The sequence below is a fragment of the Homo sapiens genome, chromosome 20 (assembly GCF_000001405.40).
Source record: "Homo sapiens chromosome 20, GRCh38.p14 Primary Assembly".
Classification (NCBI taxonomy): Eukaryota; Metazoa; Chordata; class Mammalia; order Primates; family Hominidae; genus Homo; species Homo sapiens.
Genome location: NC_000020.11, coordinates 13,404,847 through 13,421,487, shown reverse-complemented (window position 1 = coordinate 13,421,487; position 16,641 = coordinate 13,404,847). Strand labels below are relative to the sequence as shown.

Here is a 16,641-nt window from a genome sequence, read left to right as displayed (position 1 = left end):
TTAAGAAAATTAGCCTTTTGTTTATGCTATGAATTGCAAATATTTCCCCAAATTTGTCATTCATCTCTTGACTTTCATTTTTCTCCAAATGGCAAAAACAAACACTCTAAACAGGCCAGGTGCGGTGGCCCATTCCTGTAATCCCAGCACTTTGAAAAGCTGAGGTGGGCGGATCACCTGAGGTCAAGAGTTCGAAACCAGCCTGGCTGACATGGTGAAACCCTGTCTCTACTAAAAATACAAAAATTAGCCAGGCAGGAGAATCGAGAATCGCTTGAACCTGGGAGGTGGAGGGTGTAGTGAGCTGAGATTGTGCCACCGCACTCCAGCCTAGGTGACAGAGTAAAACTCTGTCTTAAAAAAAAAAAAAAAAAAAAAAGAAGGAAAACGCTATAAATACTTTTTAACTAGTCAAATATATTGATCTTGGCCATCTTTTGTGGTCTCTGGGTTTCGTTATGGTTTAAAAGCTTTCCTTAAGAGAGATTTAAAATGTTTTAAGAGTTATTTGGTGTTTGTGTTTGATGTTTCGTGTCTTTTGGTGTTTGTAAGGAATTTGGTCTTCTTAATGTGTAACAAGTACAAATCCTTATCTATACTGAGTAGATTTCAGAGTAATATAACAATGAAATACCACAGGCTTTGTGATCCCAGAGTCCAGCTTGAAATCCAGTCTGTGTGCCTAGTAAAATGACTTAAACCGTACTGCTTCCCTTCTCTGAGCCTCAGGTTCCCCATTTCTGCTTTGCTGAGTTCTGCTATGAAAGACAATGCCTGGCACATCTTAGATTCTAAGTGTTAGCTGCTCCTTGTCCTGCTTCCCTGAAGTCTTCCACTAAGAAATAATTTGTTAAATTAACTTGCATTATGCATGTACTACAAGTAATGAAATAATTTCTCTTAAAAGTGTTTTATAATTTAAATTCTAGACAATTTCTTCTGAGATTTTCAAGCTAGCGTGAATTAATAACTGAAAACTGATTTGAATTGTCATTATTAAAAAATGTGTCAGTACAATGCTTTGCCTTTTACTGTGGGATGGGATAAATGTTTGTGAAAACAGTGAAGAATGAAATTTTAGACATTGAGTTATTTTCTTTAAAAACTCCTAAACACTAGATCTAGAAATTTTATTGAAAACCATTCATATAAAAATAGTCATTTAATGAAGTTCATCAGTGTATTCTAATTTATCCTCTTTTGTAAGTCTAAATTTTTGTGTTTATTCCATTTTTTGAAAGCAGACTACATTTATAGGGAGAATAATACATTTAAAAATCATTAAAATGATATTTAAAAAATAAAGGGTAATGTCTTTATCCTTTGCTCTCATGGTCATATTGGCTATATTTTTATGATTTTTCTTGGCTAATTCCTGAGCAGTTGCCCCCTTAATATTCGGGGCATGAGGAAAAGGTGCAATTTTAGAAATGCTTTAACTTTGTATTTGAATAAAATGTATTGTCACTACTCTAGAGAACTTCAGTAAGACTTGAGTGCCTTTCCTCTGTTAGGCAAGTTAGACTATCCCAGACCTTGCTCTGGATGTCAAGATTTTTGAAGTTTAAAGCAGATGTGTGTGGACGAAAAAACATCTGGTGAAGAGAACTTGCTTCATTGCGTGACACTTTTCCTTCACTCTTCAGTGGAGCGTCTGTTGAGCAGGTTGGCAGGTTTGATAACTAATTAATGATAAGGGAATGAGCCATGTATCTGAGGAACTCCATTTTGCCCCTTACTGCCTCTTTCTTCCCCACATGTCTGGCAAAGCCTTCAGAGGCTAGGATCATGGATCACACAGTTGGGTCTCAACTCAAACACTTGTCTCCAGGCTTAACTAGCTTAGAGATATAAACAGATGGATGGCCTGGGGGACAGGGTTTAGTGTTGAGCAATGCAGTTTTATTATCAGGGACTTTTGAAATTTTTATTGGAGTACATTACAACTTTAAAAATGCCTTCGAAAACTCAGAATTTTGATGCTGTGTACTGGAATGTGACAGAGCTTTGTGGGCATCCCTGGATGTTTGCAGTTTTCTTTTTGTAACTTTTTATTTAGATATAATTTTATACATACAGAAAAGTTGCAAGAATAGTGCAAGGGACAACCATGATTCCTTTTCCCAGATTCAACCAGTGTTTTCCTTTCCTTCCATTTGCTTTCCCATCCTCATGCCCTCCTCCCTCTACATGCACACGAGCATGCACATGCACACACACATACACACAAACAAATAAGTGCATTTTTTTCCCTGAACTATTTGAGAGTGAATTGGAGACATCAGGCTCCTTTATTCCTAATACTTTGGTGAGTATTTCTTAAGAACAAGGCCATTCTACTAAATAATCACAGTACAGTTATCAAAGTCATGGCTTTTAGTATTGATACAACACTACTGTCTAACCCAGAGTCCCTTTTCCAACTTTATCAATTGTTTCCATAATGTCCTTTATAACATCTCTCCCCACCACCAAGTCCAGGGTACAATCCAGAATGACACATTGTGTTCAGTTGTCATGTATTCTTTAAACAGGAAGTTTCTCAACTTTGTGTTTTCTGACTTTGGCATTTTTGAAGAGTTCAAACCAGTTATTTAGTAGAGTGTTGCTATTTCAAGTCTGTTTGATGTTTCCTCATTCAATTCTGGTTATGCATTTTTGTCAGGAATACCAAATACCACAGAAGTGTTGTGTCTCAAGGTATCTTATCAAAAGGCACATGGTACTGATTTGTGCCTTAATTGGTGGTGTTAGCTTTGTTCATGGAGTTAAGTTGGAGTCCATCAAGTGTTTCCACAGTGAACAAACAGTTTTTCCTGTTATAAGAATTTTTTGGAGAGATACTTTGAAGCTATGTAAATAGCCCATCCTTCTTCAAATTTCCACCTACTAGTTTTAGCAACCATTATTTTCTAACTCTGTTATTTTTTCTATACTTATTAGTTGGCATTCTGCTGAAGGAAGAGCTTTGTCTTCTTCCCCATTTATTTGTTTGGATCAGTATGGGCTCACTGGTTCTGACTTTGTTCAGTGGTTATAACTCATTACTCTCATTATTTATTTTCATAGGCACAGATTTTTGCCAGTAAGAGCCCTTCAAGTTGACCCCTGGGTCTTTTGGATAAGTCCCCTTTACTCTTTGAGCATTTCCTTACTTTTCTGGTACAACAAGATGTTCCAGATTCATTTTATATTTTCTCTGTCCCAGCTCTGGAATGGACATTTCTCCAAAGAATCCTGGTTCTTTTTCGTAGAGAATGGTATTTAGAAATTAAGGGCTGGGTGCGGTGGCTCACACCTGTAATCTCAGCACTTTGGGAGGCCAAGGCGGGTGGATCACCTGAGGTCAGGAGTTCGAGACCAGCCTGGCCAACATGGTGAAACCCCGTCTCTACTAAAAATACAAAATTAGCTGGGTGTAGTGGTGCATGCCTGTCATCCCAGCTACTCAGGAGGCTGAGGCAGGAAAATCACTTGAACCTGCGAGGCAGAGTCTGCAATGAGCTGGGATTGCGCCATTGCACTCAAGCCTGGACAACAAGAGTGAAACTCCGTCTCAATAAGGAAAGAAATTAAGACCTGGTGTGTGTGTATGTGTGTGTGTGTGCATGCACGTGTTTTAAAATAAAACACACTATGGAATATTACATTTACAAAATCACTGTGTACCGTATGTACGAGTGTGTGTGTGTGCATTTAATGTTACAAGAGTCAAACAGAAGAGCATTTATTTTACATGTAATAATCATAACTTTTGACAGGAAAGAGATACATTTTTCATTTCACAGTAAATGGCATTACACAGTTTTAGTGATAAATCATCTTGACATTTATGAACAAGCAAATGGAAAGTGGGGAACTGAGTGTGTTAAATATAAAGCTATCTTTAACTGTTCTATTAAAAAGCAAAGATTTATTTTCCATCTGTGATCTGAATGTGCCTATTTGTGTTCTCTTTTATGGCAGTGGAATTTCTGTGGAGCCACACGACGGAGAGCATGTGTGTCGGATATATGTCAGCCCAGGATGGGAAAGCCAAGGTAAGTGGGAAAAAACGGTCATAACCTGAAAACCTTGTAGCCATCGCATAAACCTCTAACCAGCTAAGTTGATGTGGATGAATTTTTTCAGCTTTTTTTGGGCAGTAGCTTTGTGGTCTTCATAAGCATCCGAATAAGAACAGTTAACAATGCTAACAGCTCCAGAGAAAACCAGCATATCTATTTTGCTTTTGGTGACACAGCAGGGGAGCATTAGGAGGAGCCTGCCCACTTTCCCCCACAGCCCCCAGCTTGTTCCTTTTTGCCCATTGTGAATAAGTAGAGAAGAGGAAACTGGGGTTTGGGAAGAGAAAATGGGAGTGAAGCTGATGAGCTGACATAGATGGATGTTTCTGCAAGAAGTGTTGGAATAAAGGAAACTGAGTCAAACAAGCTTTAACCCTAGAAAGCATCCTGCATGTTTGATGGCACAGGTGGCTGACATGCTTGCAAATATGACCTGTCTCACCTTTCAGTGTGTTCTGTCATGCCCTGACCTGGTGTCTTCATGGGCAGAATTAAAGGTCTCTGTCCATGTCCCACATGCCTGTGGCACTCGTCGCTCAGTGAGTTGCAATAATCACATAGGCATCCACATACTATCTCCGGAGTTGCTTTGCTTCCCTGGACTCATGATGGTTGAGCCTGGGAATAAGCAACATGATTTGTGGATTTTATTTTATATTGGCCTCATGTTCTTCTTGTTCATAAATTTTTTAGAAACAGCTGTGGCCTGTGATGTTTACTTGGCATTAAAGTACCTCAGTTATAAAGCTGTGAAGTTGTGCAGCATTGTTTTTAAAAGAAATGATTTATTTTGCACATTTTGACATATAAAATAGGAAAACTTCTGATATGAGCAGTCTGTTACAGATTGAATCATAAAGGATAAATATAATAAAGAACACTTTATTGCTTATTTGTCATGTAATACCTATCCTGACTATCCTTTGTATATTATCCAGCCAGCCTGTAGCTCCACAGAACTTTTGTGAGTAGTGTAAAGAACATTTATTCAGACAAGGATTGACTTATATTGTGAAAATTTTGCTGAGATCCACCCTCCCCCTTTGCTTCACCTTCATCTGGTACAATATTCCTATTGTGTTAGTAGACCTGTTTCCTAAGAGAATACATAAAATATTGCTTTATTTCATAATTTATATAGAATGGAAATATAATTGTCCATTTTAAAGGTGATTTAAGGGTTTAGAACAGCACTGTCTAATAGAATTTTGTGTGATGTAAACATTTTATATCTCTGTTTTCCAACAGGGAAGCTACTAGCCACATGTGGTTATTGAGCACTTAAATGTGGCTAGTTTGATGGAGGAGCTGAATTTTAAATTTTACTTAATTTAAATTTAAATAGCCACATGTGGCTCGTGGCTACCATATTGAACAGCACAGGTTTAATGAATAAGTATGAAAATGATTATTCATATTTTCAGATTCATTTCTTCTCAGTGACAAAACAGTTCCCATACATAAAACAAGCCTGATAAACCCCAAGAATCCTTGCCTAACAGTAGCTTGAAGCCATTTCAGTTTCTCTGTCCCCTTAATATTGATTCAGAACTAAGATTGCTTTTTAACAAAAGAGCATGTTTGAGGTGGACGTCAGCACTGAAGCCAGTCTGATGGGGTATGATTATGTTATTAAGTCCCTTGTGTGGAAATTTTTTGTTATCCTTGCTGGTGGCCCGTGAAAGACACCTTACTATTTAATGTGAAATATAGGTAGGAAAGAGTGTAGAGTCCTGCTATGAGCCCGAAGATATTTGGCCTCCAGTTATATTGCTTGACATCTGGTAGACATGGTTTTCTTATTGCTGGTAAATTCTCCAGCTGGTAGTCAATTGGGCCAGCAGATACAGCTGGTCCTCTTGCCTCTCTTGTAAATTATGTTTTTGACCTTCCTTGAGGAGAGTTAATCCCTCTTCCTTCCTTTCTCCTTTGAGCCTGTGACTACAAATACTTTCAAGGAAAAAAAAAAAAAAAAAGAAAACCCCAAAACAAAAACACTAATGATTTGGCTGCGGAATTTTATTGATCAAAAAGAAAAATTATCTCTTTTGTTATAAATGCTAGAATTTTTTTGTATTGCAAGTAAGACAAAGTTATAGATGAGAGGCTGAGCTCAAAAGAGAAAAGGGGCTATAACAATGTTTGTATTCTGTTTAAGCTTTGGACCTTCCTCTCCCTCTGGTTTCCTGACTTCTATAAAAGAATAGTTGAACTAACTAGTGGCATACCTGTTCAGCATCATGACTGGTTTCCGAAACATGTTCCTCCATAATGTTGAGAGCCGTGGTAGCGAAATGAGTAAGAAGGCATCTTAAAATATTTAAAATTTAAAAACTATTTTTAAAAGTTAAAACACTTGTGCCCTTGTTTTCAAAAATTGTCTTCCTTCTGCTTGTTACCAAACTCAGAAACTGAGGCCACCTGGCCATTTGAACATATATGAGCTAGTTGTGTTTAATCCCAAGTTAAAGCCTTGAATTAAAGCTTAGCTAAAAATCATATTGCGTAGAAAAGGCTGGATAATAATCAGTATCATTGTAACCAGAATGCATGTATAATTTGAATAAATAGAGGTAGGTTCTTTTACAAGTCTTTTTTTTTTAAAGAATGTTCTTGCAATTAAATCATTTAATTTAATTTCTAAACTGCTTTGATAACATAAGATAAAGATTTATTTTTAAGGAGCCAAAATTAGGGCATCAGTACCAGTTGGATTTTAAAAACAGATTGTCCGTATCCTACCCAGATAGCAGACAGTTAATGAAGAGTTTTTAATAAACACCCAGTGTGCATGGACTACTGTAATAGAAACAGGTGTTAAAACTGGCATGGAACTTATTCAGCTATAATACATGAAATTAGGTTTCTTTTATTATGTAGAGGTCACTTTTTATAACCACAGTGAAAATACTGTTATAAAAATTTCCTTGAGGAGGAGCAGACTATTTTATAGTCTTTAAGTGTCTCTCCACAGACTTCTTATTAGTTGCAGGGAAAAATAATAACTATATAATGGAGAAACCAGGCAACACCTTGACCATGTGATCAGAATTAATACCACCAATGAGGGGCAGATGGACAATATGTGCCTCTGGCTATGATAACTTGAGGATACAGTATCACTTGTGTAGTATTCCATCTGGAAATGTATAACCTGAACCTAACTGTGAAGAAACATCAGACACATTTAAAATGAGGAACATTCTGTGAAGAAAGAAAGAAAGAAACGTGTTCTTCAATAATGTCAATGTCATAAAAGACAGGCTGCAGAAATGTTCCAGAGGAAATAATTCTAAAGAGATGTGACAACTAAATGCAGTAACTGGTCCTAGACTAGATCCTATATCAGAAAAATGCTATAAATGCATTATTAGGTCAATTTACAAAATTGGAATATGGTTAGTAAAAAGTGTTTTATCATGGTTAAACTTACTGAAGTTGATTACTGTACTGTGGTGTATAATATTTTTATTCTTATGAAATACACACTAATGCATCTAGGGGTAAAGGGCCATAATATGGACAATATTTTCTCAGTGGGTCAGAAAAATATATTATGTGGATGAATGGATGGATAGAGCAACAGCAAATTGCAAAGCAAATGGAGCAAAATGTTAACAGTAGGTGAACCTTGGTAAAGGATGTATAGATCTTCCCGGAACGATTGTGTAATTCTTAAATTATTTTCAAATTAAAAATTTTTTAAATGTCACTCTTGGGTCTTGTGGCACATTTGATTAGTTCTTTGGGTCTTGTACTTGAAATGATGCAGTTCAAAAAATATCACCCTTGGTTTATAACCAAGTCTGCATTGGATGAATGATTACATTCCCCCAAACTATTGCCTTTTTCTCATTTTGAATTCCTGACTAGAATGACCAAAATTCAGATAACACATCCCATTACAAATATTTTGCAAAATATTTCTATGATAGTTCCTTGTTTTCCAGTGGGATCTAAGAGAGACTAAGCTTTTTCATAATCAAGGTGCTGTCCTCTTGGGATGTTTTTTGTTATATTACTCAGCTTTTCTTAAAAAAAAAAATTTACTCAACAAATATTTATTTGTGATGTTTCTCTGCCTTGTGTGACAAACCCTGTGTCATACTCTGACACATGGTAATGAAACAGGACAGATGTTGCCCATACCATATTTCCCTCACCTAGGGAAAGCACAGGGCACTGGGTGGTAACTCAATGATATTTACATTTTGTTTTTAACATTTTCTATTTTAATGCCATGAAGTCTTCGAAACCTCATGAGGTCGTGCCAGGATTTCTGTTCTTGGCACATCTGACTAGTTCTTTGGGCCATGCAGTTAAAATAAATAAGTATTGGGATGGGTGCAGTGCCAGGAAGTTGGAGCCTGGGTTGCCCTCCCACTCCATGCACACTGTGAGCTGTGGTTTGATCACTCTGCCTCTGGATCCCAGAGGCCTCATCTGTAATATGAGAATAAGAAATCCTTACCTTGCCTTAAGCCTTTCCTGTGATATGATATGATAAGAACGAGGAAGCAAAACCTTATCTGTCTCAATACAGATGACTAGACCCCATTAAGTCCTTGTTGTTGCTTCCAATCTGCAGAATTCCAAATTCAACATTCCAGATTACATAAACAAATATGTTGCCACTTAATTTTCAGTAGGATTTTTGTAATACCAATATAGTACCTACTGTGTTCTAACATGTTTTATCTTCATGAAGATGGTTTCCAGGTCTTTAAAAAAAACTTAGTGAATGTATATTTACAAAGGATAGCAGAGATGAGATTTCTGAGTGCTTTTTCCTAGGCTTAAAACTTACCTCTCACATAAAGCCATAGGAGGGAGACTTAAGTATAAAACATGATGTACACAAGGGGGGGTTATCAAAAGAAGTGCAAAGAAACTCCACTTCTAATTAGAATGAAGAAAGTTACAAGAGACTGTTGCTTCTACTCCCAACTATGTGAATGAGCTGCATAATCTATAGAATCATAAATTTTTAAAAAGTATCCAGAGAAGTTATTAGGTAGAGAAAAACCTAAGTAAACTAAATTCCAGAAAGAGACAAGCCCTTCCTAGGAGACAAAAACCTCTGATTGCTTTATTCCCTGGCAGAGCAGCAGGAGGAGGAGTCAAACTCAACACAGAGGTATATAAAGACAAATCAGCCAAATTTTTAATGAAATCTTTATGGCCGTGTGTGAGCTGGTGTGACAGATTAAAATCCTGAGACACTCCATTCACAGAGAGCTTATACCCACCGCCAGTTTTTCTCTGTGAGGCCTTCATCAAGTGGCAACACACCAAAGCTTGGAGCAGAGCAAAGAATTGTGAGTGATTCATTAAGGTGCATAAGATTTTCACCAAATACATGGCAGTGGCCAGAGAAAGACTAGAGGCATAGCAAGAGAGCCGCAAGACAACTCGGAAGCATAGTGGTCCTTTATCAAGTGCAACACAGTTGCAACAGAAGGCTGGATTAAAGCAAAAGAGATTTTAAAAAACCTCTCCTGCTCCCAACATGTACAGGGCCTTCATCAAGGGCCAGGCAGTGTTGTACAGAAGCCTAGTGCCAGGGTAAGAGAGTGAAGAAATATTCCATGACACAGAAATCTGGAGGAGGTTACAAAGAGCAAAACGAACACCTTAGCAACATGGAAAGCTGACGGCTTGCCTATAAACAAAGAGAAGTCTCCCGTGGTTAGAATGCTGGTGCCTGGACTATAAGAATGGAGAATTCTCTAGAGTTTCACCTGGGCTCAGATCCCAAACCTTGCTTAAGGGAAATTCCTGATCCAGGATACAAAATCAACACGTAAAAATTAGTAGCATTTTTATACACCAATGATGAACTGCCTGGAGAAAGAAATCAAGAAGGCAACACCATTTACAATAGCTAAAAAGAAATACCTAGTAATAAATTTAACCAAGGAGATGAAAGACCTGTACTAGGAAGGCTACAAAACACTGATAAAAGTAATTGAAGAGGACACAGACAAATGGAAAGACATCCCATGCTCATGGATCAGAAGAATTAGTATCTTTAAAACAATCCTATTGACCAAATACCAATGATATTTTCCACAGTAATAGAAAAGACAATCCTAACATTTATATGGAACCCCAAAAGAGCCCAAATAGCCAACGCAATCCTTGGCAAAAAGAACAAAGCTGAATACTTCACACTACTTGACTTCAGAATACCTTGCAAACCTATAGTAACCAAAACATTATGATAAAAACAGGCATATAGACCAATAGAACAGAGTAGAGAATCCAGAAATCCATACCTTTATAGCCAACTGATTTTTCACAAAGGCTCTAAGAACGTACATTGGGGAAGGGACGCCCTCTTCAATAAATGCTGCTGGGAAAATTAGATATTCATATGCAGAAGAATGAAACTGAATGCCTGACTCTCTTCATATATAAAAATCCATTCAAGATTGATTAAAATCTTAAATGTAAGGCCCCAAACTATAAAACTACTAGAAGAAAACATAGGGAAAATACTTCAGGACATTGGTTTAGGCAAAGATTTTTGTGGCCAGGACCTCAAAAGCACAGACAAAAAATCCCAAAAGAGACAAATAGGACTCTTATTAAACTAAAGAGCTGCTTCACAGGAATGGAAACAATTGACAGAATGAGCAGACAACCAGTTGAATGGGAGAAAATATTTGCAAACTTTTCTTCTGACAGAGGACTAATAATCAGAATATACAAGAACTCAAACAACTCAATGTTTAAAAAAAAAGATCCCATTAAAAAGTAGCCAAAAGACATGAGTAGATACCTCTCAAAAGAAGACATACAAATGGCCAACAGACATGTGACAAAATGCTCAACGTCAGTAATCATCAGGGAAATGCAAATCATAAACACAGTGAGATATTATCTTACCCCACTTGGAATAGCAGTTATTAAAAAGACAAAATATAGCAGGTCCTGGTGAGGATGCAGAAAAAACGAAACTCATACACTGTTGGTAGAAATGTAAATTCATACAGCCACTATGGGAAACAATATGGAGATTTCTCAAAAAACTGAAAATAGGACTACCATGCAATCCAACCTTTCTACTACTGGGTATTTATCCAAAGAAAAGGACGTCAGTACATCAAAGGGATACCTGTGCTGTACTTGCATGTTCATTGCAGCACTACTCACAATAGCAAGTATATAGAATCAACCTAAAAATATATGAACAGATGAATGGATCAAGAAAATGTAGTCTGTATACACAATGGAATACTATTGGGCATATTAAAGAATGAAATCATGTCATTTGCAACAGCATGGATTGAAGTGGAGGTCATTATGTTAAGTGAAGTAAGGCAGGCACAGAAAGACAACTTTAGCATGTTCTCACTTACGTGTGAGAGCTCAAACATGCTGATCTCATGGAGATAGAGAGTACAGTGATAAATACCAGAGACTTGGAAAGGTGTGTGAGTGGGAGGAGGGAATGAAGAGAGGTCGGTCAATGGGTACAGTTAGATAGAAAGTATGAGTTCTAATTTTTGATAGAGTAAGTTGACTATAGTTAACCACAATGTATTATATATTTCCAGTAGCTAGAAGATAGAACTTGAAATTTTCCCAATATGTATAGAAATGATAAATACTCAAGGTGATGGATACCCCAAATACCCTGACTTGATCATAACACATTCTGTGCATGAAACAAAGTATCACATGTATCCCATACATATGTAAAATATTATGTGTCAATAAAATGATTAGTATGTCAGTTGAAAAAAATAAAAACATAAAATAACTGATATTGAGTATATTCACATCATTTAAAAGATAATTTCAAACCCAGGAAGGATGAAAAATAATAGAAAAAGTTAAATGAGATAAAAATTAGAAATAAAATAATTTTCAAAAATGAAAGCTGGTATGGCTATATTAGTGTCAGACATAGGAGATATGAGATAAAACAGGACATTTCATATTGAAAATGTGGTCCATTCAATTAAAAAGGTATAAAACGTCTAAATGTATATGTGCCTAGTAAAAGAAACAAAAATTGACAGTAATAAAAGGAGTAATAGACAAATCTGTAGTCATAGTTGGAAACTTTAACATCCTTCTTTCTCTCAGTATGAAATAAGACATACAATAGTAAATGACTTGAATAAAAATTAGTAAGGATATGAATAATAGACCCAACTTGACCAAAGTGGTATTTATAGAACATTACATTCAACAAGTTATTATTTTCAAGTTCATAAGGAGTATTTACCAAGAGAAGCTGACAATTATTTTCAACTGAATGATAATTAAAACAATATATCAGAATTTATAGGATGCAATTAAAACATTAAAAGGAAAAGTATGTCCTTAAATACTTATGGTAGAAAAGAAAGTTTAAAATAAATGAGTTAAGCTATCATCTTAAGAAGCTTTAAGAAGAATAGATAGAAAATAATCAAAATAAGAATGCAAGCAGTAACATAGAAAAGAAATTTTAAAATGGAGAAAAACAAAGCTAGACGAAGTTCTTTGAAAAAAAATTAGTGAAATTGATAAAACTTTAGAAAGAATGATTAGGAAAGAAAGAAAGAAACCCACAAATTACCAATAGCAAGAATGAAAAGGAAATAGTAATGCATTCACCGATTCTGTAGGCATTAAGTGGCTAACTTTATTTCAACAGAGGCAGCAACTGGATGAAATTTATTAATTTGTTGAAGAAAACCAACTTAACAAACTAAACACAAAAAATTTTAAATAACCATTTACATATTTAAGAAATTGAATTTCTATAAGCAAAACATTCTCATAAAGTAAACTTTATGCCCAGATGGCATCACTGGCATTTTATATCAGACATTTCAGGAAGAAATAACATTAATCTTATGCCATTTCTTTCAGAAAAACAAAGCAGAGGGATTGTTTTCCAACCCATTTTATGAGACAAGGGTAACCTCAGTATTTGACAAAGATGTTACAAGGAAGGAAAACTACAGACCAATAGCTGTCATGAATATATATGCGGAGATGCTTAATAAGTTATTACTTTGGAATGAAAAATCCAGCAGTATTATTGCCCGTGGACACCAAATAAGGTTTTTCCAAGGAATGCACAGTTGACTTAACATTTCAAAAGTCAGTCATTGCCAACAAATGATCCTGGAACATAAGGATATCCACATGTAAAATAATGAAGTTGGACCCTTTATCCCATATATAAAAACTAACTCAAAATTTATCAGGAACCAAAATATTAAGAGCTAAAACTATGAATTTCTTAGGAGGACTTAGGAGTAAATCTTTCTGTCCTTGGATTATGCAGTTATTTCTTAGATATGATTCCAAAAGCACAGGCAACAAAAGAAAAAATAAATAGGTCATCATAAAAATTTAAAACTTTTATGCTTCAAAGGATAACATCAAGAAAGTAAAAAAAGCCCACAAAATAGGAAAAAATATTTGCAAATCATGTAATTGGTGAGGAGCTTGTACCAGAACATATATAGAACTCTTACAACTGAACAATAAGAAGGCATAAAATGGGCATGAGATCTGAGTAGACATTTTTCTAAAGACGATATACAAATAGCCAGTAAGTACAGGAAAAGATGCTCAACATCAGTAGTCATTAGTGAAATGCAGATGACAACCACAAGTAGATACCACTTCACATCCAACAAGATGGCTATGATAAAAATTGTGAATATTAACAAGTCTTGGTGAGGATGTGGAGAAATTGGAACCCTCATATATCACTGATAGGAATGTAAAAATGGTGCTGCTACTTTGGACAACAGTTTGGCAGTTCCTCAAAAAGTTAAACATAGAGTTACCATGTGACCCAGCAATTCCATTTCTAGGTATATGCCCAAGAAAATGAAAAGATAGGTCCACATGAAAACTTGTGCATAGATACTTATAGCAGCATTATTCATAACAGCAAAAAAAGAAGAAACAATCCAAATGCCCATCAACTGATGAATGGATCAGCAAAATGTGAAATATTCATACAATGGAATATTTTCAGCTGTAAAAAGGAATGAAGTGCAGATATATACTGTAGCTTGGATGAACCTTGAAAACATTATTCTAGGTAAAAGAAGCCAGACACTAATGGCCACATAGTGTATGATTTTGTTTATATGAAATGTCCAGAATAGGAAAATCCATAGAGATAAGGTAGATTAGTGGTAGAGGTAAGGGAATGGGGAGTGAGTGCTAATGGGCACAGGGTTTCTTTTAGTGGTGACGAAAATTTTCTGGAATTAGAACATTGCACATTTTGCAAATATATTAAAAACTACTGAATTGAAAAGTTATTTAAGTGGATGAATTTTCTGATATATGAATTATATCTCAGTAAAGCTGTTAAAAATGTTAATTGATATAATTTACTCTGTTACCAAAATAAAGGAGAAAACCCATATGTTCCTCTTGATTCCATATGATCATCTCAACTTGCATGAATGATAAAAACCTCAAAATAGCCGGGCACGGTGGCTAATGCCTGTAATCCCAGCACTTTGGGAGGCCAAGGCGGGCAGATCACCAGGTCAGGAGCTCGAGACCATCCTGGCTAACATAGTGAAACCCTGTCTCTACTAAAAATACAAAAAATTAGCCAGGCATGGTGGCGGGCGCCTGTAGTCCCAGCTACTCGGGAGGCTGAGGCAGGAGAATGGCGTGAACCTGGGAGGCAGAGCTTGTAGTGAGCAGAGATCACACCACTGCACTCCAGCCTGGGTGACAGAGTGAGACTGTCTCAAAAAAAAAAAAAAAAAAGAAAAAACCCTCAAAATATGAGATATCCAAGGAAAATTCCTCAATGTGATTAAGGGCGTCATCTATCAAAAACCTACAGCTAAAATCATACTAATTGGTGAAACACTGAACACTTTCTTTCTAACACTGACAACAGACAAAGAGGGCATCCACTCATCACTTCTATTCAGTATTTTATTGGATGCTCCACTAGTACAATAAAGCAAATAAAAGATAAAACTTGGAAAAGAAATAGTAAAAGCCATAGTTATTCTCAGAGGACATGAAATGAATCTAACGAATGATGTGCAAGACGTGTTCCCTGAAAACTATAAAACCTTGCTGAGAGAAATAAAAGACAATCTAAATAGAGAAACATGCCATATTCATGGATTGGAAAACACAGTAAGATAGCCATTCTTTCCACATTCAGCTATAGATTCAAAGCAATCTCAATAAAAATTCCAGCAGACATTTTTAAATAAGAAATTGACAAGTTGGTTTTATAATTTGTGTGGGAATTTAAAGGACCTAGAACTGCAAAAATCAACTTTAAAAAAGATCAGAGTTAGAGGACTTACAGTACCAGACTTTAAGACCTACTGTTAAGCTACTATAATCAAGGCAGTGTTCCTCCACAGAAGAGGCAACCCTAAAAATCAATGAATCAGCTTTGGAATCAGCAGGAATACCGTCCAGCTCTGCAGTTTCACAGCATTCTGAGGGAAGGGAATTGCCAGATTGGTTGATGCAGCAGGGTCCACCAGACACTGCAGAAATTATTAAATATTGTCTCAGAATTATAGACGGAAATTTGTGTCTCAGGAGGAAACTGGCTGGGCATGGTGGCTCATGCCTGTAATCTCAGCACTTTCGGAGGCTGAGGCGGGCAGATCACAAGGTCAGGAGATCAAGACTATCCTGGCTAACATGGTGGAATCCCGTCTCTACTAAAAATACAAAAAAAAAAAAAAAATTAGCTGGGCATGGTGGCACACACCTGTAGTCCCAGCTGCTCGGGAGGCTGAGGCAGGAGAATCACTTGAACCCAGGAGGCGGAGGTTGCAGTGAGCCGAGATCACGCCACTGCACCCCAGCCTGGGCAACAGAGGGAGACTCCATCTCAAAAATAACTTAATTAATTAAATTAAATAAACCAAATTTTATTCAATGTGGAGGGCCAGAATAATCACCAGCAGTGTGGATGCTGTTTGTCGTCAGATGAAAGAATTGTCTTTACAAGAAAGATTTCTAAAATGAGAAATTATACATTCAACAACCTTAATAAAATATTCTTTTAAAAAAATGAAAGAGGAAATTTAAATGGACACTTGTATCTCCTGATGTATGTATTTTGGTCAGCTTCTTCACAAGCTTACCTAACTGCTTACGTACTTTAAACTTTAATTAAGTATACATTTTAAAATGTTATCCTATTTACTCTTGGCCTTCAAGTATTACCAGTGTTAAACTACTAAAAGCACACAATATCTAGTAAACTGTCATAGGTTTCTCATAATCTCACTTTTCTTTCAGTCTGTTTAGGGATATAAAGAATTTTTCAGGCGAAGTTGCTGCTTTAGGGAAGTGATTTTTCTAAAATTAGGTGAGGATTGGTGAAATAAGAACACCCTTATTTGTTTTTAATTCTCAAATTTTTTATTCACAAGGTTATTGGGGTATAACTGACTAAATAAGTGTATCTGGCTCTTAAAGATAAAAATATAACCAAGGTAAAACAGGTGGCTTTGTGGTATTAAGACTAGGGCAATAACACAAAGGATTATTTGTGCTAAAAATATTTTTTATGTGTAACAAAGGATTATTTCTGAACAGAGATTCA

General features: G+C 36.2%; 1 protein-coding gene and 1 pseudogene across 17 annotated transcripts in view; both read left to right on the top strand.

Moving 5' to 3' along the window:
* The window catches only part of TASP1 (taspase 1), a 534,161-nt gene that overhangs the window by 217,445 nt on the left and 300,075 nt on the right, over positions 1-16,641 (top strand). For all 17 annotated transcript variants that reach the window (XR_001754319.3, XR_007067463.1, NR_136629.2 and 14 more), the window contains one exon: positions 3,967-4,040. Coding sequence is in view for 11 of the 17 variants with exons in the window: in XM_047440269.1 (XP_047296225.1) it covers positions 3,967-4,040 (74 nt within the window). In the remaining 6 variants the exon portion in view is untranslated. The remainder of the gene's footprint in view (positions 1-3,966; positions 4,041-16,641) is intronic.
* MRPS36P6 (mitochondrial ribosomal protein S36 pseudogene 6) lies at positions 15,418-15,638 on the top strand (annotated as a pseudogene).